Below are 20,269 nucleotides of genomic sequence, written 5' to 3' on the forward strand. Positions count from 1 at the left end.
AGCATCTCTGTCCCTTCTCCTTCAGCGAGTGCCTGCCGAGGAGATCACCTATGAGACACTGAAGAAAGCCATTGGTAAGTCAGGGCAAAGGGACTCTGGTTAGAGGGCAAAATGGGGTGGGGTCCTTGGGCCTGTTCCTGCAGATGCAGCAGGACACACCACCCTCCGCAGTGGGATCCAGCACCTGCGTGAAGGGAGAGGCTGGTGTCTTTTGACAAACTCATCACAGCCACCAAAGCTGCCACTGAATATCCCTGCTCTCCTGATGGGGGTCAGTAGTGAGGCCCTGTGTGGCCCACAGTGGGCAACGCTTTTGCCAGTAAAGACAGCTGCCTTTAAAAGTAATCAGTTGGCCAGGCATGGTGGCTCACGCCTGTAATCCCAGCACTTTGGGAGGCTGAGGTGGGTGGATCTCAAGGTCAGGAGTTGGAGACCAGCCTGACCAATGTGGTGAAACCCTGTCTCAACTGAAAAAATACAAAAATTAGCCAGGCATGGTGGCATGCCTGTAATCACAGCTACTTGGGAGGCTGAGGCAGGAGAATTGCTTGAACCTAGGAGGCGGAGGTTGCAGTGAGCTGAGATTGCACCACTGCACTCCAGCCTGGGTGACAGAGCAAGACTCCCATCTCAAAAAAAAAAAAAAAAAAAGGCAATCAGTTGATGGCTATAGGTAGAAAGCAATTCGGGATAAATTTTTGGTTTATTTGGTGAAGTGTGATACAAAAGAACAAGCTGGCCAATGGAAGATATTAATAACGAATCATATGAATGTCTATTTAATAAGGGCAGATGATTTTAAAATGCATGTTACCTCTCTATCTGGATCATTGGACAACAACAGATTTTTCTAACTGTTGACAGATTATGCCTGTAAATGCCAAACTTTTAAATTTTTGTCATCATTAATGATAGTCTCTCTGAATGTACACATTTCTTGCCCTTTTTTTTTTTTTTTCTGAGACAGAGTCTCGCCCTGTCACCCAGGCTAGAGTGCAGTGGCACCATCTTGGCTCACTACAACCTCTGCCTCCCAGGTTCAAGCAATTCTCCTGCCTCAGCCTCCCGCGTGACTGGGATTACAGGTGCCCGCCACCACACCCGGCTAATTTTTGTATTTTTAGTAGAGACAGGGTTTCACCATGTTGGCCAGGCTGGTCTCGAACTCCTGACCTTAGGCAGTCAGCCCTCCTCAGCCTCCCAAAGTGCTGGGCTTACAGGCATAACCCACTGCACCTGGCTATTTCTTGCCTTCTTAAACTGAGTATGGGCCAGGCATGGTGGCTCACACCTGTAATCCCAGCACTTTGGGAGGCCAAGGTGGCAGGATCCCTTGAGCCCAGAAGTTTGAGACCAGCCTGGGCAACATAGTGAGACCTCATCTCTATTAAAAAAAAAAAAAAAAACTCAACAGTATTATGGACATGTGCGACACACACCCCTTTTTCTTCTTGGTGCTAACTCATCTTGGATACCAAGCAGCATGTGTAGAAGCCTTAAACTAAATGGCCTCGGGCTGCCCTGCCACACGTGTTTCATGTTGGCTTTTGTGGTCTGTGTGGCTTTACCATTGTCAATGTCCCTCTTCTTTTTTTGTTTATTTTTGAGATGGAGTCTCGCTCTGTCACCCAGGCTAGAGTGCAATGGCGTGATCTTGGCTCACTGCAACCTCCACCTCCCTGGTTCAAGCAATCCTCCTGCCTCAGCCTCCCAAGTAACTGAGACTACAGGCATATGCCACCACGCCTGGCTAATTTTTGTATTTTTAGTAGAGAGGGGGTTTCACCATGATGGCCAGGCTGGTCTCAAACTCCTGACCTCAAGATGTCCTCCTGCCTCGGCCTCCCAAAATGCTGGGATTACAAGTGTGAGCCACCGTGCCCAGCCTCAATGTCCCTTTTCAAAATACCCACAGAGTACTCAAAGGACCAACTGTTCAGGACCTTCAATTTAAGAGTCCCGGTGGGAGAGCAGCTACTTGGGGCTGTAAGAGCCCCGCTGAAAGGGCCTCCCACATAGTTCTCAAATTCTTACATGAGGAAGAAGGCTGAGCCCTCAGGCAGAATCAGGAAGAGGTCCCACCTTCCAGGGCCAAGTGAGGGCACCGCACCTCCACGCCACTGTCCCCTACTCTTCAGAAGAGGGGAGAGCCCAAGCAATGCTCATGGACAGTGCTCCCTGGAGGAGTCCCTCCCTTCACCTCAGTGAGCAGGGCCTGGCACTAACCCAGCTCTCTGTGTCGAAGTGGACAGCGTAGCAGTGGAGGAGCAGGAGCGTGAGCGGCGGCGGCAGGTGGTGGAGAAGTTCCAGAAGGCACCCTTCGAGGAGATTGCTGCACACTGCGGGGCCCGGGTAAGTGAAGCATGACATGGGCGAGTCCCTGGGAGCCAAGTCAAGACTGAATTTGGGTCCAGGACAGGATTAAGTTCCTAGGAGATCTTGGCTCTTTGACCACCAACCTCCCCCACCCCCACCCTGCCAGACATCAGGGCTTGTATTCCAATGCAGGGAGCTCCGCTGTTGCCCTGCCAGGCTTTCCCCAACACCCTGGCGCTGCACTGCTCCCCTATGAACCAAAAGACTTGGGTGTTTGTCTTGGGTCTCTCTGAGACCTCACACTTCTCACATAAGGAAGAAGTCCTGAGCTGAGGCACCTGTCTGGCAGTCAGATCATGCTCACTGTGGTCCTGACAGCAGGCACGTGAACAGCACTCACTGCGGATGACAGCTTCTTCTATTGATGAGCCGCTTTCATTCTCATGATAACTCCATGAAGTTGGTGCCATTATGATCCCCATGTTACAGAGTGATGGGGGAGGGGTGTGTGGCAAAGGAAGATGGTCAACGTTGGCAGCAGGACCCTCTTCCAACCAGGGTACCTTGGCAGGGGGATGGAACAGCCAGGCCTTGGCAAAGAGATCAGAGAGAGAGGCAGCTGGACATGTAGAAATGAGGAGCCATGCCTAGACTGGAGGGAGGAGCTCAGACAATCTTGAAATTGATTCTATGCCGGGATTTATTAGCCCCGAATGTCAAGCTTAGTAACAATGAAACATAACTGTAAACATTCAAAATCTACAAATAACCTATTCTCCTAACAAAATATAATATGTATAAATATTTTATATATAATATTCATATAGAAGTGTGTGTGTGTGTGTGTGTGTGTGTGTGTATATAAAACACATATAGATTTTCCTGGGCCTGTATTGTTCTAACCTCTCATCCCACTTTGAGAGGGATGCCCATGTTATGAGCTAGGAATCAGGGCCCAGTCACGGAACACGTGCAGTCCCACTCTCTGCATTCATTAACCTCATTAGAGCCAGAAGTAATCAGAGATCATCTCTAAGCCACCAGTTTTGCACAGCTGCTCCTTGCAAGTTAGAAAAGAGCTGGCACAGGCTGGGCACAGTGGCTCATGCCTGTACTCCCAGCACTTTGGGAGGCTGAGGCAGGCAGATCACCTGAGGTCAGGAGTTCGAGACCAGCCTGGCCAACATAGCAAAACTCCATCTCTACTAAAAATACAAAAATTAGCCGGGCATGGTGGCAGGCACCTGTAATCCCAGCTACTCAGGAGGCTGAGTTGGGAGACTTACTTGAACCCAGGAGGTAGAGGTTGCAGTGAGCTGAGGTCATGCCACCGCACTCCAGCCTGGGTAACAGAGCAAGACTCCTTCTCAATTAAAAAAAAGAAAAGAAAAGAGCCGGCACTAGTGCAGTCTCCCGACTCCATGCCCAGCAGCCCCTACTGCCCCATCTTAAGGAAAAGGACCTTCCAGAACTGCCTGCTGACGTCCTCCCTGGTGATTCTGAGCCTCTGTCCTGTCCCCAGCCAGCCTTCAGTAGGTGGCTTTCCCTGATCCGAATCTGCAGTCAGGGTCCAGTGGATGAGTGCTGGAGCGTGTTCACCTCTGCCTGCCTTCCTAAGGCTGTGGCTGCCCTGTACCTCCAGCGTATACTCTGGACACCCTGAGCCAGCTGGCAGAGGTTCTGGACCCCCCACCCCTGCCAGCTCACTTCCGTGTGTTTGTGTCTAGGCATCGCTGCTCCAGAGCAAACTCAATCAGATCTTTGAAATCACCATCCGGTAAGTGACAACCCTGGGCAGGGGACCCTGACCTCCGTGGCCCAGTATTGGGGTTCCTCATCCTGAGTCCTCTCACCCCTGTCTTCTCTTCTCTCCTCCCCACCTCCTTCTACCACTGTAATCTCTATCCCCTGGGCTGGAGTCAGCCACCAACTCTAACCCTCCCTAGACAAGGAAATAGAGACCAGAGAGGGAAAGAGCCTGCCTCAATGAAACCTGGAAAGACGCAAGAGTCCTAGTGTTCCGGGCTGGCACTTTCTAAAGCAGCAGTGTCACTGCGGAGCCTGCAGGGAAGCTTGACTCCAAGCTGTAGATTCTAGTAGAACGTGGAATCCTGGGAACCTGTGGAATGAAGGGGTCTCTGGTGCCTGTGCAAAAAGAAACCCAAGTCACCTACTCTGTTTGGTTGCACAAGGGTGGGATCCTAAAATTCTCTTTTCATGCCTTTCTCCCCATGTGTTCCTGCCCCCTAGGCCCCCACCAAGCCCATCAGGAACCATCACTGCAGCCTACGGTCAGCCGCAGAACCACTCCATCCCCGTCTATGAAATGAAGTTTCCCGATCTGTGTGTATACTGAATTCCAAGAGCCTGAGCTCCTCAAGGAGATGGGGTCTGAGGAGGGGCTCACCTCACGCCCACCCCGACCACATGGAGATCTGGCTGTGATCTCTGAGAAAACATCACCTTAGATGGCAGCGCCTCCCAGGCTAAGCCAAGGTGGAGACTCTCTGGTCCTTCTTGGCCCTCCTACCTCCTCCTCGTCTTCCCTGAGGGAGGTCTCACCAATCAGCATCTCACCTGTGCCCTCTTTGTCTTCTCTTGTGTCAGCCAGGGGCAGAGAATCATGGGGTGTCTCTCAGGAGAAGCCGGGGGGAGGGGGCTGAGAAGCTCCTACTTGGTGTTTTGAGTGAAGGGCATGTCCTCCCCAGAGGACGGAGCTGGATGGAGACTTGGTTGGTGAGAGGAAGCTAAGGACTCTACTCCCCTGGGGAAGGAAGCTGAGATGGGGATGGCTCTCTCCTCCCCAGCACTCCCCCTGCTCCCCGCCCATGTCCCTGCTGTGTCTCTCACTCTCTTGCTCATCTCCCAGTTGTCTGTTCATGTTTCTTTCTACTATTAATGAATGCTGAGCCCTTATAACAGGAGCTGGGGTGGAGACATCACGAGGGGTCGGGGGACAGCAAAGGGCAGGAAGCAGGATGCAGGGCTGGCAGGAGGTGGGCCTGTGGCATCAGCAGGCCCAGCGGGCGAGTGTGGTCCCTGCAGCAGCTTCCCACCTCCTTTGTTCATAAGGAGCTTGTGTTGGCCTCCCACAGTCCTGTCTGCTGGACGTTTTTCAGAGTTGGGTTCTCTCTCTTTGATGTCTTTCTTCTGAGGGTCCCAAGGTGTTCCTGGAGCTTCTGGGTTGAGGAAAGGCAGAGCAAGATAATCTTGGAGGGGAACTACAGGGTCCCCAAGATTTGCCCACATCACCTCCTATGGAAAAGGCTCCCAGCCTGACCTGGGTTGTAGGAGAGTGGGGAGGGTGGGATGAGTGGTGTTTTGGGGCTCAAGGATATCAGAAGCCAACTTTTTGGATGTTCCGTTTGAAGAAAGAAGGATCTAACACCTAATATTGGAATGATTTCTTCACTCTCTGGACAAAGTCTGGGACATCAGCACCACCTGGCAACGCTTGTGGCTTGGGAGGAGCCATGGAGACCCCTTTGGGTTCTGGGTTCCTGTTTTCCTGGTGTGCCGTCTGTGTCTCTGTGTAATGAGGATGTGCAGAGAGGAGCTAACGCGGAGCCGGGCAGAGCCACCCAGGAGGCAGTTTGTTGCCTTCTTTGCCAATTCCCCTTCCCGGCCCCTCCTCCAGGTGCCTTTGTGTCTCCCGGGGTGCCACTGACAGAACCTCACCTGGGGCTCCTCCCATGGCAGTGCCATGTGGTCCAAAATTGCCCTTTCCTTCTCCGTTAGTCACATTTCCCATAACTCCTCCGAGCCAACATAACCTACAGTAAGATGTGAGTGTCAGACGTTCTCTCCCTGGAGTCTGCTTTCCAAAGGAGGCAGGGTGAGTAGATTTCTTGATCCAAAGGAATCCGTTTTTAATTTTTTTTTTTTTCTAGAGATGGGGGTCTCACTATGTTGCCCAGGCTGGCCTCGAACTCCTGAGTTTAAGTGATTCTCCCACCTCAGCCTCCTGAGTAGCTGAGAATCCCTTTTTAGGGTACAATTTCAGGCAGTGTGGCATGGAGTCAGAAGCAGGCTGTTTCTCCTCAGGGGAGGGCAGGCTTCTCAGGACGGCCTCAGCTCATAGCCCCACGTGTGGTGTGCACGGATGTGCAGGGAGAGCCTGATTGTTAGGTGGATGTATTTTCCAGAATCGGGGAGGGACTGAACACGAGCATTTCCCATTAATATGTGCAATAAATGTCTTGGGGAAGGGGCTATTTGACCCTCATTCCCATAGTTTTGGCACTTCAAATGAAGCTCTTCCTTGTGGTCACCATCTCTGCTGTGGGCACACAGCTTCTTTTTCTTGTTTTTTTTTTTTTTTTTTTTTTTTTGAGACACCGTCTCGCTCTGTCACCCAGGCTGGAGTACAATGGTGTGACCTCAACTCACTGTGACTTCCGCCTCCTGGGTTCAAGTGATTCTCCTGCCTCAGCCTCCTGAGTAGCTGGGATTACAGGCGTGCACCACCACGCCTGGCGAATTTTGTGTTTTTAGTAGACATGAGGTTTCACCGTGTTGGCCAGGCTGGTCTGGAACTCCTGATCTCAAGTGATCCGCCCGCCTCAGCCTCTCAAAGTGCTGGGATTACAGGCGTGAGCCACTGCGCCTGCTTGGCACGTGGCTTCTGAATGGCCTGAGTGAGGGCAGGGCCCAGGCATGGAGGCTCCTGCACCCCCAAGGCTTTTTGGCTGTGCTTTATGGCCTCTGGCTTATACTCAACCCAATTTTACAAGCATGAACTTAGACTTCTCTTTAGTATTTATATATTTAAAAACCAAGTTTAAATTAACTCAAACTTGACAGCAACTAACCTCTGAAAGAAACTTTAAAGAAAATTGAAATCTTGAGCCACAAACATGTTCTTTCCTCACTAGCTCCTCCCAGGTTTTATCCTGCACCCAGCTTGGATGAGAGACCCACTGTTTCTTGTGCCTACTTAACATTAGGGTTCCCCGTGGCAGCTTCATCCTGAGCACTGCCTGTGAGCCCTGGTTCTGGGACTTGGCAGTCGCCTCCCTGGAGCATCTTTCCAGAGCCAGCATTAGAACCTGAGATCCCCAGATGTTTCTGCCCCTCATCCCCATCCTGTGAATAGAGAGACAGAAAAGGTGCAGGTTCCCATTCTGCATAGATTCTGCTGTTTCCTCTCCACCGGTCCCAGGCAGCTTTTCCTTTCCATCACTGCCGCTTAGCAAAAATGTGCTTCTTTTGAAGAACTGGTCATTTTTTTTGAGTGCCCTCTTCTCAGTTTTGTTTAAACTTACACTCAGTAGAGTGTTGGGTTGTCTGCTGACATGGAGTAGAACCTGGATTCTGGCCAAATAGGCCAGAATCGGAAAGGTGAAGGTGAGTGTGATAGTAGGTAATCTCCTCACCCCAGCACAGGCCCTGGGAGAGAGGCAAAGCAGTTTGATGGGATCTGGAGGGGAGGGAGGTACCCTGGCCCTTGGTCTAGCATCAGTGAGTCCTGCCCTTCCAAGCCCCTGGAGGCTAGTGGCATTGCATTGTGCCCCTTTTTGCCACCCTTCTCTGATGTGATTTTGAGCGAAGAGGAGTCAGTAAGCCCATTGAGACCGGCTGCTCCCAAAGCCCGAGGACTCTAGCTGTGTGGGGAAGGGCTAGCATTGGTCAGGACTCTGCTGACAGCACTGAGTAGGCAGGAATGTATTTGAGATTTGGAAGTACTGTTAATTTGGTGGAGTCAGGTGAATGGATAAGAGGCAGATCGGCAGAAAGCATCAGTGTGGTCCCGAGGCTCCCTCTGTTTTCCTTGCCATGGAGTCCCCAGCGCCTTGTGCCTGTTTCCATTTCCCTCTCTCTTTGAAAAGTAGAAATCAGTGGTTTCTTGACTCCTAAACAGCCTCCTCACTATAGAAGGAGCCTGAGCAGGTCAGAAGAACTAGAAAAGTCCTCAGATACCCCCCTCTGTCCAGCCCCCTTTCCCATACACAGATATCAATGGATGAGCAGGAAAAGAGGAGGCCTGGACTCACTGAAGTACTTGAAGAAGCACAAGTGTCATAGATGTGCCGCCCTTTGCCCTGGGTGTTCTAGATCACACAGAACACGTTTCAGCTGGACTAAGAATCAGACTAGCCAGGGGTTCTTCTGAACAGCTCAGGCCAGACCTCTGGGCTCCTCTGGGGGCCCTGGGACATGATGCCTTGCAGTTTCCATTCCATTGTCCCCAGGCCTCCTGACCTGGTGACAGAGAGTGCCCTGCAGAAGTGAGTCTATTTTTCCCAATTCCTCTTCATGACCAGAAAATGGCAGCTGGCCGGTTGGGGTCCTGTGGGAAAGGGCTAACCTGGGCTGTTAGGTAGACACTAGGTTTAAAGGTAGACAGGGAGATGGCATCATCAGGGCAGGCCAGGCCCACTTCCTGTGACCCCAGACCTTGGCAGGCGGGTCGTGCTGAAACCAGGCATCTCCCTCACACCTGGGGAAAGGTTTAGGGCAACATGTTGCCTCTTCATCCCATTAACCCTAGAAATCTTCTGGTTAGAGTGGCCCCTTACCCCAAATCTGGCCTAGGTCTGAAGACTGCAGGATAGTCATGATGGGCCCATCCTAGAGCCTGGCTAGCTGGAAGACGCGGTATGGCAGGGACAGGAGGGCGGCAGGAAGGGCTTTGTGGCCCTGCTGGGGCCAAAGGCAGTTTTCTGTGCTCCCTTTAGCCCCAGCCTGGCTGGCCAGGTCTCCTGTACTTCAGGGGACCATGGGGCCGCCCAAGCCAGTCACCTTCCCCTTCCAAGCTCTCCCCCCATGACTGTTGATTTCTGGCGCGTGGAGGCAGAGTTGTGAATCCACAAATGCTGTAGCCCATATCTCGTAATGTGTCTGTGTCCACTTAGAGCCTCACGACCTGGCTGTGTGTGTGCATGTGTGTGTAGTATAGTTTGTAGTTGACAATATGTGTATATAATAGCTGGTGTATTTATATGTGAGTGCAGAATTAGTGCCCGTGGCGGTTTTCTGTATTTTAAACCCATTGAATTGGTTAGTTTTATTTTAGGGAAGTGGGAAAGGCGGAGTGGGGGGAAGTATAGGAAGAAGGATTCTTAGCAAAATCATTCTCTAGGACTATTAGTCGCGATCTCCCAGTGAGCCATCACGATGCCCTTTTCAAATAAATGTTAATGTTGTCACCACATGGCTGTCTGTTTGATTTCTTTAAAGTAAATGGTTTTTTTGAGAAGCAAACGGGATCTGAAAATACCAACAGTATACCACTGACATTTAGCCACCTCCACCAACCATGACTTTACCTGTCTCAGAGGGAGAAGGTGTGGGGGAAAGGAGGCTACCAAGATGGAAACCTCAGGCCCAGCATGCCCAGCATGGGAGCATCCTCAGGAAGGCCTAGGCCATTATTCATTCTAGCACATTCCATGTAAGCCATACTGGGGAACACCTTGTCTTAAGAATCTGGCTTTCTGGCCAGGCGCAGTGGCTCAAGCCTGTAACCCCAGCACTTTGGGAGGCCAAGGTGGGCAGATCACCTGGGGTCAGGAGTTCAAGACCAGCCTGGCCAACTTGGTGAAACCCCATCTCTACTAAAAATACAAAAGTTAGCCGGGCGTGGTGGCGCACTCTTGTAATCCCAGCTATTTGGAAGGTTGAGGCAGGAGAATTGCTTGAACCCAGGAGGCGGAGGTTGAAGTGAGATGAGATCACACCATTGCACTCCAGCCTGGGTGACAGAGCGAGATTCCATCTCAAAAACAACAACAATGACAACAAAATGGCAGGGGAAGGTGGGGGGTTCCAGGCAGAGGGTATAGGAGGATGCGAGACCTGTGAGGAGACCAACGAGTGTGAGGCAGCGCCTTCATCCGGGGAAACTTGGGAAGCAGGGTTTGGTAAGGAGAGAGTGCCCGTCTACAAGGGCCCTGCCCACCATGCTTAGTAGTTTGGAATTGACAGAAATTGGGGTGGGGGCACTGTTTTGACTCTTGAGCCTGGGACTGTGGGAAAAAGCAAGATTTTGTGTAAACTAACGTGAAGAATTCGTATATGATGGGCTGGGGAGAGCAGCTGGAAACTAGGAGACCAGTTGGTTGGGAAGCTGTTATCAGAGAGGCCTGGGGGAAGTACTAAGGATGAGAAGGGCTGGAGCTGAAACACGCGGGGAGGGAGGAGCCTGGGCACGGCAGGAGGGGTCAGAGGGCCTGAGTCAGGGCTTAAGCCCTAGGGGCTGGAAGAAGCAACTGCGTAGAGTATGTTGTATTAAACAGATGTGTGTCTCCATGAGTGTGTGTGTGTGAGAGAGACCGTATGTCTGAGCGTATCTGTGAGTAGCCTGGGAGTGAAATTGGAACTGATACTAACCCTCAGCTCTCACACTTAGCTTCTATGATAAAAAGAAGATTATGTCCATTTTCTCCTTTAATCTTCACAATAACCCTCATACTGGGAAGGGAGGGGTAGATGAAAGAACTAAATTTTGGAGAAGTTCAGAGACTTGCCTAAGGTCCCATGGATTGCTACGAGCAGTTCCCCGGAGACATTACCAAGACTTCTCACCTGACAGTCCAGAGCACTCCCAGGCGTGGGTAGGCCTCAACCTGTCCAACTGGCTTTTGGAGGTGGACCGGAGCCGGGGAGCCCCTGAGCGCCCGGGGTCACTCTTGCAGGAATCCTGCCTTTACACGTGTGCTAGCTGAGCAGTCTCCCACTCAGTGGAGTGTGTGGAAAATACGGCCATCCTAGAGGTGCTGGAGCCACCCTGTGCCTTCACCCAAACTATCTGATCCCTCGAAGATCCATTTGGGGGTGGGGGCAGGAAGCACATTTTCCTTTCACGCTCACTAAGTCCTGTGAAATATCCTACCGCATGGAAACCACTGTGCTCCTCCGATCCATGCTGCTGTTATTTGACGGCTACGTATTTTTACTTTATTCACACAGTTTACATTCAAAGTCAGAGGTGGATGTGAAATTTGAAAGGTTTTATTTCCTAACTACAGGCAGCTTTAAGAGGCTGATTATCTGCCACGACCCCCCAGGCTGGGAGGCGGCAGCAGGGCAGGGGAGAGCAAGGGGCTTTGGGGTCGACCTCCTGGGGGAGGGTAGCCCTGGGGCCCCGCTGTGCCCTCACTCGCCCTTCTTGTAGGCGTTCTTGATGATGGCGTTTTTGAACAGCGTCACCAGGGGCGTCTGGCTCTTCTCGGAGGTCATGAAACCGCCGTAGCGCTTGTCCTTGGGCGGGCTGCCCCAGCGGAAGTGCTCCATCCTGTAGGGGCCCTCGTCCTTCTTCTCGGCCGCCACCAGCAGGCTGTGCTCCAGGTCGGCCTGGGCCCCTGCGCCGTCATCGGCAGGGCCGTCGGGGCCATCTCCCTCCCGGAGTCGCTGGCCAGTCAGCTCCCTCTTGAACTCCAGGGGGAAGGCCTCGGCCGACTCGTCCTCGGCGCCGTTAGGGTACACCTTCACTGGGCGCCGCTTCTTGCCCACCGGCTTGCCCCAGCGGAAGTGCTCCATGGAGTAGGAGCGCTTGCCCTCGCGCGGGCCCGGCTTGGCACCATCGCTGCGGGGCTCGGGGCCGCCCTCAGGCAGCGGGCCGCAGTCTTCGCCCGCTGAGACGTCCTCGCGCTTCTGCCCTGCGCCGCTGCTGCCGCTGCTGCTGCTGTTGCGGCGGCCGAATCGGTCCCAGCGGAAGTGGCCCATGACGTACTTCCGGGGGTTCTCGGTCAGAGGCTGCTCGTCGCCATTTCCCGGGAACATGGGAGTCTCGGCCGAGAGGTCGGGCTTGCAGGCCCGGATGCACTCCTGGGGGAAGACGCGAGGGCATGAGGGCAGCCCGTGCCCCGCACCCCGGCCCGGCTGCCGCGCCCGTCACTGCGCCTAGGCCCTGGCCGCCCTCGCCACGTGCCGAGGACACAGGGCACAGTGTCGGGCGTGTCAAGCGTCGAGGCCTCCCTACAGAGCAGGTCTGCCCACCTGCTTTCTTGGCACTCGTGGGCATCTAAGATCTTGCCACTGCCTCTTTTGTCCCATCCCCTTCATGCTTCTGCCTGGCAACTGCAACACACTTCCCATCCCATTCCATGGTTTGTCTAGCCATCTAGCCACCCCTAGCTTTTGTGAACAGGACCAAAGTCTTACTGTTATATGCCTGACATAAAGGAGTGGCTCCAAGAAAGGCAGACGGGTGGTAGTTGTTGGCACTTAATGAATATTGAGGGCCGGGCACGGTGGCTCACACCTATAATCCCAGCACTTTGGGAGGCCAAGGCAGGCAGATCACATGAGGTCAGGAGTTCAAGACCAGCCTGGCCAACTATGGTGAAATACCATCTCTAGTATAAATAAATAAATAAGCTGGGTGTGGTGGCGGGCGCCTGTAATCCCAGCTACTCTGGAGCCTGAGGCAGGAGAACCGCTTGAACCTGGGAGGTAGAGGTTGCAGTGAGCCAAGATCACACCACTGCACTCCACACTCCAGCCAGGGCAACAGAGCAAGACTCCGTCTCAAAAAAATAAATAAATAAATAAAAAGAATATTGAATAAATACATATGGTTTAATTCAAGTCCAGGAGGGGAGTGGGGCTGAAATTTGGGGGATAATCTCTCCAGGTGATAGAAGTCTGGCTACTAGGGCCCATATTTTTAAACATATTTTTAATAATGCCTCAACCTGTGTGAACCTGGGAGGTGGAGCTTGCAGTGAGGGGAGATCGCGCCACTGCACTCCAGCCTGGGTGATAGAGCGAGACTCCGTCTCAAAAAAATAAATAAATAAACAAAAAATAAAAAATAATGCCTCAACCTTACCTCAGTGATGAAAAACCTACTTTATGCCCTACCCCAGCTCCATCTCTGCACTAAGCCTCCAAAACTGCACCTTGGTTCTTTCACGACTTCTGAGCTGATTTCTGAGAGATCCCCCAGTGAGCTCTGGGGCAAGCTTATTTCCCTGTAATCTCATTCTGACTGGAGGGAGGGGTGGAAAGCTAGCGTTATTTCCATTGCACCGTCTGTGGAACCTGTGTCTCTGCTCCTTGTCCCTAGAGGACTCTATTGTGGTACATATTAGCTTAGGAAAATGGCTGCATAGGCTGCAGCCTTGAGTTTTCAGTGATAAAAAGATGAAAAGCTCACTGGCTGCTCTCTTTCTTGGGAATAGCAAAGGAGAAAATAAAAGGATCCTACCCACTCTGTTGAGCTGGACATTGCCTACTCCAGGTGTTCAGAATTACAACTCTGTGGAACGTTAACAATGGAAAAAACTAATTTACACTCCCCTCCCGTGGACAGATAGTGAAACAGGAGACTCAGAGAGGTGATAGGACCTGGTCAAGGTCCCACACCTCAAAACTGGGTCTAGAACCCATGGGTCCTGACTGTGTCCAGTGCACCCTCCCTGGTGAGCTGTGCTGTGGGTGTCTCAAGTCAAGAGACTCTTGGGTCTTTCCAAACTGGAACTCACAGAATCCCCTGGGCTCTTTGTTTCTATTTTATATTACACATGAAAACTGGTCTGTGTCTTTGAGGACCTCATTCTATCTTCACCTTAACTCAGCTTCTGCATTGACAAAATACACAGAATGTAGTTATGTACATTCCACCCTCAGCACCTGCCAGGTGATGGCAACAAGATTAAAATTCCGGTCACTGACACTAACAGTATGGGGGTTTGTTTGTTTGTTTGTTTCATTTTGTTTTGTTTTGAGACAAGGTCTCATTCTGTTACCCAGACTGGAGTGCAATGGTGTGATCATAGCTTACTGTGTCGTCAGACTCCTGGCCTCAAGTGAACCTCCCAAGTAGCTAGGACTACAGGCACATGCCACCACATCTGGCTAACTTTTTTATTTTTTGTAGAAGTGGAGGTCTCACTATGTTGCCCAGGCTTGTCTTGAATCCCTGGGCTCAAGCAATCCTCCCACCTTAGCATCTAAAAGTGCTGGGATTACAGCCATGAGCCATCTCGCCTGGTCTCAGTGTGCCTTTTAATCTCTGGATTTGGCATCATTACTCATTTATGCCCCCCAACACACACACACACACACCCCCCACAGGCAGATACATACACCCTGTGGTGACCTGGAGGGAGCTCCTGCCTGATGCAAAGGGCCTTCACATGCTCTGGAAAGACTGTAGAGGAACACAGCAGAAGGCCAGTCCTCCAGAATAAACATGAGACATTTGGCACCAATTAAAGAAAAAAAAAAAAGGGCCCCTGGTTTTTCCTTCTTCCAGAGATGATTTGAAGAACTACCTGGCTGGTTTTGCAACCGGTAGTAGATAAAAGGGTAAGAAATATGGAATGAAAATGGCAAGTGATATGAGCTTCTTAAAAAGGAATAGTTTGGGAAGCTAAAGATTTAAAGTACAGAATAGATTGAGGGGTCCATTATTGCTCTTATAGCACCATCTCTAGCTTAAAGGGTTCAAGGTCTCCATAAAAGATGGGGCAAGAAGTAAGGATAACCAAGCAGAAATTGTGGACTCAACCCCTCTCCCTGAAGCTGCTTCCTTCCCTGATTTCTTCTCCCATTTCTTACTTCACTGCAAAGTTTTGCTCCTGCCCTGGATTGAATCACGCCTATCACTGGGAATGAATTTCCCTTTCCCCACACCCTTTTCTTTTGAGCTTTCCCAGCTCCAGTCCCATCTAATGTCTAAGCCAAGATGGCAGTCATGGCCCACGTACCAGCAGGTTGCTTTCCGTGGTGAGGTCCTGACACTGGCTGCTCTCCAGGCACCAGCCACGCACTTCCATGGAGGCCTGAAGCAGCAAGGCCAGCAACAGGGCCCCCGAGCGGCTGCAGCACGATCTCGGCATCTTCCAGGCAGGCTGAGGCTCTGCAGAAGCAAACAAGATTGGTGGGACCCCTGCAAGGAGCAAAACAATGTTGGCCACTCACCAGGAAGGACCTTGAGCCAACATTAACAACACACTCTCTTGTGGAGTTAAAGGCATTTTAAGGACAGCAGCAATGCTGAGAAAGGAGGTGTGCAGTACAGCGGTGGTATAAGTTGTGATAAGGAGGAGGGAATGGTGGGTAAACTGTGACCATTTCCCTGTTATCTTCTATTTAAACGAGACCCCTAAAAAGGTTAAGGCTGGAAGCTATTTTGGGGATTGCTTGGTTCAGCCCTTCCCATGAGAGATGGGAAAATTGAAGCCCAAAGAGAGACAATTACTTTAATGTCCATGACAAGGTAAGGCTAAGCTCCTAACAGAGAACTTTCCTATTTCACTACATTAAGCTGTAGTTCTAACATGCAAGATCTCAGGAGTGAAAGTAACTTGGGAAAAACGGAGGACCCTGAAACTCCTGCTCAAGATGGTCTTTTCCCTTTTTATTCCACCAGGATCCTATCATTCCTCTGAAACTCTATTTCCTATGAATATTAGGTTGACAGAAAAGCAAATAAAACCACTGGCCAATTTAGGCAGCATTTCGAGCAGCCTGATTTGATGTCCTGCACACAAATTACTCTGGTGATCACTATTACCCAGACTCCAGTAACTTTGGAGAGCTTCGTTTTTAAAGCAGATCTCAGTTCTTTGAAATCTGGCTCATCTTCTGGACACGTCACGTGTCAGATGTCTTGTTCTCTAGAGCTCTCAAATGTGGTCTGAAATGGCAGGATTTGAAGAGGATGCAGATGTGGAGGGGAAAGAGACCAGAAGGGAATTACCTCCTGGTGGAACAGCCACTGCAGATACTTTTGGAGAATCCAGCAAGTGCCTGTGGGCAGAAGCTGAGGTCAAGACACCAGGGGACAGTAAGGAGGGGGCATCCATGGTGCCCCTAGCCCCCTGTACCCACCCCTCTCTCCAGCACTACCCTCGCACTGCCAAATTTCCCTTAACCAGGTGGGCCCCCTGAAGCCACCTCGAGGCCGGAGATCAGCTCACCGCCAACCCTACAATCATTTTGGATTTCAGAAGATCTTCTCAGCCAGCTGCTAGAAAGAAATGTAATTAGATGAGAAAAGTAATTCACATTAAAGCGTGGATGACTAAGTGTCTTGTCACTCCTAATGAACGCTGGCATTTTAAAATAAGTTTGCCTAAAATAAATCTCTCATTTGGGGAGGCGTGGGCCAAATCTTTTTTATATAGGGGAGGCTTTGGAAGTGAAAGTCCTCTGAAGCGCTGATTTCTACTTCAGGAGGCCACTTCCTTCTCTCTACCCCACCCTCGCCCTATTCCCCAGGCGCTGGGCCTGCACGGTGCTAGCTTCTGAAGGGTTGCCGGGCAAGGCTGAGCATTTTCAGAGCAGCCATTAGATGGCACTGGCAGCCAGTGACTGGCCCAGGTGCGCTTCGGCTAAAGGGGCAACTGAACGAGCTTTGGTCAACCTTGGTGTCCTCTCCTGGCTCCAAGGGACAGGCTGTTCCCATTGTACCCTGCCAGTGATCTATTCAAGTACACAGCCAGAACTTGGTGGACCAGGCAATTAGATTAAAGCTCCAAGTTGACCATAGCACATTTAGCTCTGAAAAATGCCCAGATGTTACAGTCACAGAAAAATGGTAGTTACGTATGTCACCAAATGCAAATGTAAAGTAACATATTAGTAAAGGAAAAAACAAAATCTTACAGGTCTGATAGTTCCCTCAATTATATTTCAATTCTTGTCAAAGATAACTACTCTGGAGTGATTTCCATTTGCTAGAAGCAATGACTTCAGGCCTTCCTGGAAAGCCCCAGAGAGCATTTCCCCTCCTTATGCCCTATGTGCTGTGTTGTACAATGTGGTAACATATTCACTCCCACCCTCTCAGAGCTTATATTCTGTTGCTAAACTGGTTAGATGGCTGCTATTGCTAAAACTTCAGATTCTTCCCTGAAAGATGGTCTTGTGTTTGTATTGTATATTTTGCTTATGTGTATGTGTATTTGCTTATGTGTATTTTCAGTTCTCTACAATGAACAAATAGTACCTTTTGTGTCATTTTTAAAGCAACAAATTATTGGGGAAATATCAAATGTTGTGCTTTTTTAAGTAGGGAAAGTATTATAATCCAAAAATGGAAAGCTCTGGAAAAATAGAAACTTGAAATTTGCTCATCCTGAGATTAACTTTATAGTAGAACTACACTTATTAGAACTTCATAGGTGTGAGGGGCTCTCTATGAGCTCAACAAATCATTTTGCTTGTTACTGTAAAACTGCACGCTGGCCATGACCTTTTGTAAAGATTAGAGGAGCACAGGGGCCGAGTTTTGTCCTTACACCATGACATACATGCATCGAGTCCTATAACAAAAGCATCAAAGGAACAGTAAGTCATTAAAGTGGCCATAATCTGTGCAGAGTTTATAAACTGACACACACACAAAAAAAATCCACACACACTTTTATTTTCCTTGGCTCCTTCCAGCCATTCTGTAAGAACCCTCCCTGCCCCATTTAAACATGAAGAATTTGGGGAATCCAAATGCCAAGTGGACTGTCTCTCCTTCGCTGGAAACGCCCCTTACCTGAGCCTTGATCATTCCAAATGGCTGCCCGTGCCCTCAACCCAGGATCTGCGCCATAAACCGTCCACCCCGGTTCTGTTGAGGGCATCCGAAACTAGACAGTGCGTTTCAGGATCTAGGACAGCTCCCGCCCCGGCCACCTGTTTTTAACCCCAGCTAGGTCTTGGAGAGAAGAGACCCAACTATTCTGCATTGTAATTGACCCAGTTATCATGTAATTATCATAGCGCGGCCACCTCGGGTGCGCTAAGGTGGGCAAGGAAACAAGGATTCAGGGGTCTGAATCCGAAAAAATCCGGAAGGCAGGGCGTTCATTATGACTTTTATCCTTTTCTCTGCTGCCCCGTTTCCAACATTAATTTGCGATAGCGTGTATGGAATTTGACTTTCAAGATGTGACACCTATCCTGGAAACTGGGAGCAAGAGATACTAAAAGACCGGGCTGGCCGGGGGCGGTGGCTCGCGCCTGTAATGCCAGAACTTTGGGGGGCCAAGGCGGGCGGATCACCTGTTGTCGGGAGTTTGAGACCAGCCTGACCAACATGGAGAAACTCCGTCTCTACTAAAAATACAAAAATTAGCCGGGCGTGGTGGCGCATGCCTGTAATCCCAGCTACTCGGGAGGCTGAAGCAGGAGAATCGCTTGAACCCGGGAGGCGAAGGTTGCGGTGAGCAGAGATCACCCCTTTGCTCTCCAGCATGGGCAACAAGAGCGAAACTCCGTCTCAAAAAAAAAAAAAAAGACCGGGTTGTCCCAAGACCTCCTAGCAAGCTCTCGGAGCCTCCGGACCGCCGCGAGCCCCTGGGGGAGAGGAGGCCGCCGGCTCCCTGGAGACAGCGCCTGCAGCTTCGCGGCCGTCCGCCCAGGGGCCGGACGTGGGCCCTCCAGCTCAGCTACTGGCGGCTTCTCATGCCGCAGTCGGCGCAGAAAGTTTGTCGAGAACTCGGGACCGCGGAGAGCCAGAGGCGCCCAGGTCCGCCTTCGGAGCCGGAGCCGGCCGACTGCATCGCGAGGACGGGGACAGGGGATCCCGGGGAAAGAGCACGGGTCCCCCACGCTGCGCCCTTACCTGTCTCGGGAGGCTGCTCTCTGAGGGCGGGGACGCTCGGCGGCCTCTCTCGGTCGCGGCTCTTCTTCCCCTCCTTCGCCGCCGCTTGGTCCCGCGCTCCTCTGTCCTTATATACTTGCCGAGCTCTCCTGGTGGGCGCGGGACTTTGACCTTCCCGGCAGCACAAGGAGCAGCTCCCCGGGCCAGGGGAAGGGGGGCCGCGGGGCGTGGGAGGGGGGCTTCCAGACGGGGGACGAGCGCGGGGAGACGCGCTGGAAAGGGGCTGGAATTAGCACTGTCCTGCCGAAGGCGCACCTGGCCGCTCGCCCTCAGGAAGAACTTAATTATGGATGGCGTTGGGTCTCCGCTTAGAACGGGCGGGAGGCTTAGCACCCCCGTGTGGGGCAGGCCGGGCAGCCTCTGAGGTCGTTGAGGCGAGGGTGAAGTTACCTGCGTGCGTGCTGGGGCTGGCATCTGCCTGGTTCGCATTTGGCGGTAAATATCACCGTCTGCACACGGGGAGGCCTCCGATTTCCCCATTGTTTGGAAACTGTGATGTGGAAGTCGTGGGGAATCATATTCTCTCTGTTCCACTTTGGGGAGGGGAGGAGGGAGCAGAAGTCAGGAGCCGTCTTGTGGGTGTGAAGGTGAGTTGCACTGCTCCCCTGGGGCCTGCTCTCCAAGGGCCTGGTTTAGGGGAGGCTCCCTTCCGTGTCCCAAGCCTCAAGGAAAAAGTCCTGTTAACCTAAACCATTAAATGGGGAGAGGGTGATGCTGTGAAGAGCAGCTGAAGTGCTTTCCCTGTGGCCTCTGATCCCTCCCTTTGCCATGAGCTGGCAGGGTGGTCTGGGGACTCAGACAATTTTCAACATCCCCCTTGGCCCTGGAGTTCTGGCTTGGCTTTAGTTCCAAATATCAGACCAGAGAGAAGAGTACAGCACTCAAACCAAGCTAAGAGACTCTACCTTAACCTGGAGTAAATAAACAAAACCAAATTGTGCGATGTGGTGGGTGTGGGAGGGAGTATTGGGACTAAACTGGACTTCAAATCAAGACACTTGCTTAATCTGCCAAATGCCAGAACTTTCCTGATTCCCCATGAGATGCTCTTTTGGACTCCAGGACTCTCTTGTGGATTCAGCTTTTCTGGTGACATTGGCTTTACATTCAGCAATCCTTTCCCTTTGGACCACAAGAGAGATCCAAGCTCCGTCACAGTAGACAAGGTGCTTCATCACCCGGCTTTGGCCCCTTTCCAGGGCCATTTCCCAGTTCTCCACCTTGCATCCTGGCACTTCAGCATCCACAACATTCACACTGCTAGAACATGGCTTTCTTGGGTCTCCATTGTCCAAGCTGTTCCCCCAACTAGAACATCCTTCCTCTCTCCAGCCATCCAGGAGCTTGACTCACATCAAGATGTAGCCCATCCATCAGCCCCTGTTCTCTGAAGCCCTCTTT

At 51.4% G+C, this 20,269-nt stretch overlaps 2 protein-coding genes across 6 annotated transcripts in view, besides 15 other annotated features; one reads left to right on the top strand and one right to left on the bottom strand.

Moving 5' to 3' along the window:
- EFR3B (EFR3 homolog B) overlaps positions 1-9,467 on the top strand; it is a 117,060-nt gene extending 107,593 nt beyond the window's left edge. For both annotated transcript variants that reach the window (NM_014971.2, NM_001319099.2), the window contains exons 20-23: positions 26-74; positions 2,246-2,352; positions 4,044-4,093; positions 4,567-9,467. In NM_014971.2, the coding sequence (NP_055786.1) occupies positions 26-74; positions 2,246-2,352; positions 4,044-4,093; positions 4,567-4,672 (312 nt within the window). In that variant the 3' untranslated portion in view covers positions 4,673-9,467. The remainder of the gene's footprint in view (positions 1-25; positions 75-2,245; positions 2,353-4,043; positions 4,094-4,566) is intronic.
- Positions 10,673-11,529: an enhancer, noted in NCBI's record as "H3K27ac-H3K4me1 hESC enhancer chr2:25383210-25384066 (GRCh37/hg19 assembly coordinates)". NCBI's record gives its function as "activates a minimal SCP1, AML or CMV promoter by ChIP-STARR-seq in primed H9 embryonic stem cells {active_cell/tissue: H9 hESC(primed)}" and the evidence as "EXISTENCE:reporter gene assay evidence [ECO:0000049][PMID:30033119]".
- POMC (proopiomelanocortin) lies at positions 11,192-18,912 on the bottom strand. 4 transcript variants are annotated; one of them, NM_001035256.3, is made up of 4 exons: positions 18,830-18,912; positions 15,968-16,017; positions 14,973-15,124; positions 11,192-12,084 (listed from the first exon to the last, which is right to left on the bottom strand). In NM_001035256.3, exons 3-4 carry the CDS (start codon positions 15,102-15,104, stop codon positions 11,413-11,415), a joined length of 804 nt encoding a protein of 267 aa, NP_001030333.1. In that variant the 5' UTR covers positions 15,105-15,124; positions 15,968-16,017; positions 18,830-18,912; the 3' UTR covers positions 11,192-11,412. The 4 variants fall into 4 exon arrangements, with proteins under 4 accessions (NP_001030333.1, NP_001306133.1, NP_000930.1 ...); NM_001319204.2 differs by having other exon boundaries at positions 14,973-15,154; NM_000939.4 differs by lacking the exon at positions 15,968-16,017.
- Positions 12,016-12,165: a silencer, noted in NCBI's record as "silent region_11244". NCBI's record gives its function as "represses an Ori minimal core promoter by ATAC-STARR-seq in GM12878 lymphoblastoid cells {active_cell/tissue: GM12878}" and the evidence as "EXISTENCE:reporter gene assay evidence [ECO:0000049][PMID:35858748]".
- Positions 12,206-12,255: a silencer, noted in NCBI's record as "silent region_11245". NCBI's record gives its function as "represses an Ori minimal core promoter by ATAC-STARR-seq in GM12878 lymphoblastoid cells {active_cell/tissue: GM12878}" and the evidence as "EXISTENCE:reporter gene assay evidence [ECO:0000049][PMID:35858748]".
- Positions 18,786-19,598: a promoter, noted in NCBI's record as "PvuII/BamHI fragment for promoter". NCBI's record gives the evidence for it as "EXISTENCE:transcriptional activation assay [ECO:0000170][PMID:6305652]".
- Positions 18,937-18,943: a TATA box. NCBI's record gives the evidence for it as "COORDINATES:motif similarity evidence [ECO:0000028][PMID:6305652]".
- Positions 18,937-18,949: a transcriptional cis regulatory region, noted in NCBI's record as "TATA box". NCBI's record gives its function as "required for transcription" and the evidence as "EXISTENCE:transcriptional activation assay [ECO:0000170][PMID:6305652, PMID:6327275]".
- Positions 18,965-18,989: a protein binding site, noted in NCBI's record as "nGRE; also known as P-NBRE or Nur77 site". NCBI's record gives the evidence for it as "EXISTENCE:protein binding evidence [ECO:0000024][PMID:9496246]".
- Positions 18,965-18,993: a protein binding site, noted in NCBI's record as "nGRE; also known as NurRE or GR site". NCBI's record gives its function as "negative regulation of cyclic AMP mediated induction" and the evidence as "EXISTENCE:protein binding evidence [ECO:0000024][PMID:11174853]".
- Positions 18,999-19,031: a protein binding site, noted in NCBI's record as "HPE1 (-115 to -83); AP1 weak binding site". NCBI's record gives the evidence for it as "EXISTENCE:protein binding evidence [ECO:0000024][PMID:8329120]".
- Positions 19,009-19,028: an enhancer, noted in NCBI's record as "-112 to -93 fragment". NCBI's record gives its function as "bidirectional enhancer of transcription" and the evidence as "EXISTENCE:reporter gene assay evidence [ECO:0000049][PMID:8329120]".
- Positions 19,015-19,188: a transcriptional cis regulatory region, noted in NCBI's record as "-273 to -93 fragment". NCBI's record gives its function as "positive regulation of transcription" and the evidence as "EXISTENCE:reporter gene assay evidence [ECO:0000049][PMID:7772256]".
- Positions 19,112-19,134: a protein binding site, noted in NCBI's record as "E-box". NCBI's record gives its function as "positive regulation of transcription in response to ultraviolet irradiation" and the evidence as "EXISTENCE:protein binding evidence [ECO:0000024][PMID:15358786]".
- Positions 19,189-19,214: a transcriptional cis regulatory region, noted in NCBI's record as "Tpit site". NCBI's record gives its function as "mediates positive regulation of transcription by T-box 19" and the evidence as "EXISTENCE:reporter gene assay evidence [ECO:0000049][PMID:21193556]".
- Positions 19,236-19,261: a protein binding site, noted in NCBI's record as "hPOMC-CRE; also known as HPE4". NCBI's record gives its function as "mediates response to cyclic AMP" and the evidence as "EXISTENCE:protein binding evidence [ECO:0000024][PMID:7865128]".
- Positions 19,290-19,318: a protein binding site, noted in NCBI's record as "IVA probe". NCBI's record gives its function as "positive regulation of transcription" and the evidence as "EXISTENCE:protein binding evidence [ECO:0000024][PMID:10353606]".

Source organism: Homo sapiens, chromosome 2 (genome assembly GCF_000001405.40).
Source record: "Homo sapiens chromosome 2, GRCh38.p14 Primary Assembly".
In the NCBI taxonomy this organism is placed as follows: Eukaryota; Metazoa; Chordata; class Mammalia; order Primates; family Hominidae; genus Homo; species Homo sapiens.

What these genes read in the sequence shown, in the direction of transcription:
- POMC (NM_000939.4), bottom strand. Translation starts at nt 15,104, where the DNA reads ATGCCGAGATCGTGCTGCAGCCGCTCGGGGGCCCTGTTGCTGGCCTTG. An exon ending in CCACGGAAAGCAACCTGCTG is followed by an intron (nt 12,085 to 14,972) that starts GTACGTGGGCCA and finishes GTCTTCCCCCAG; the next exon opens with GAGTGCATCCGGGCCTGCAA.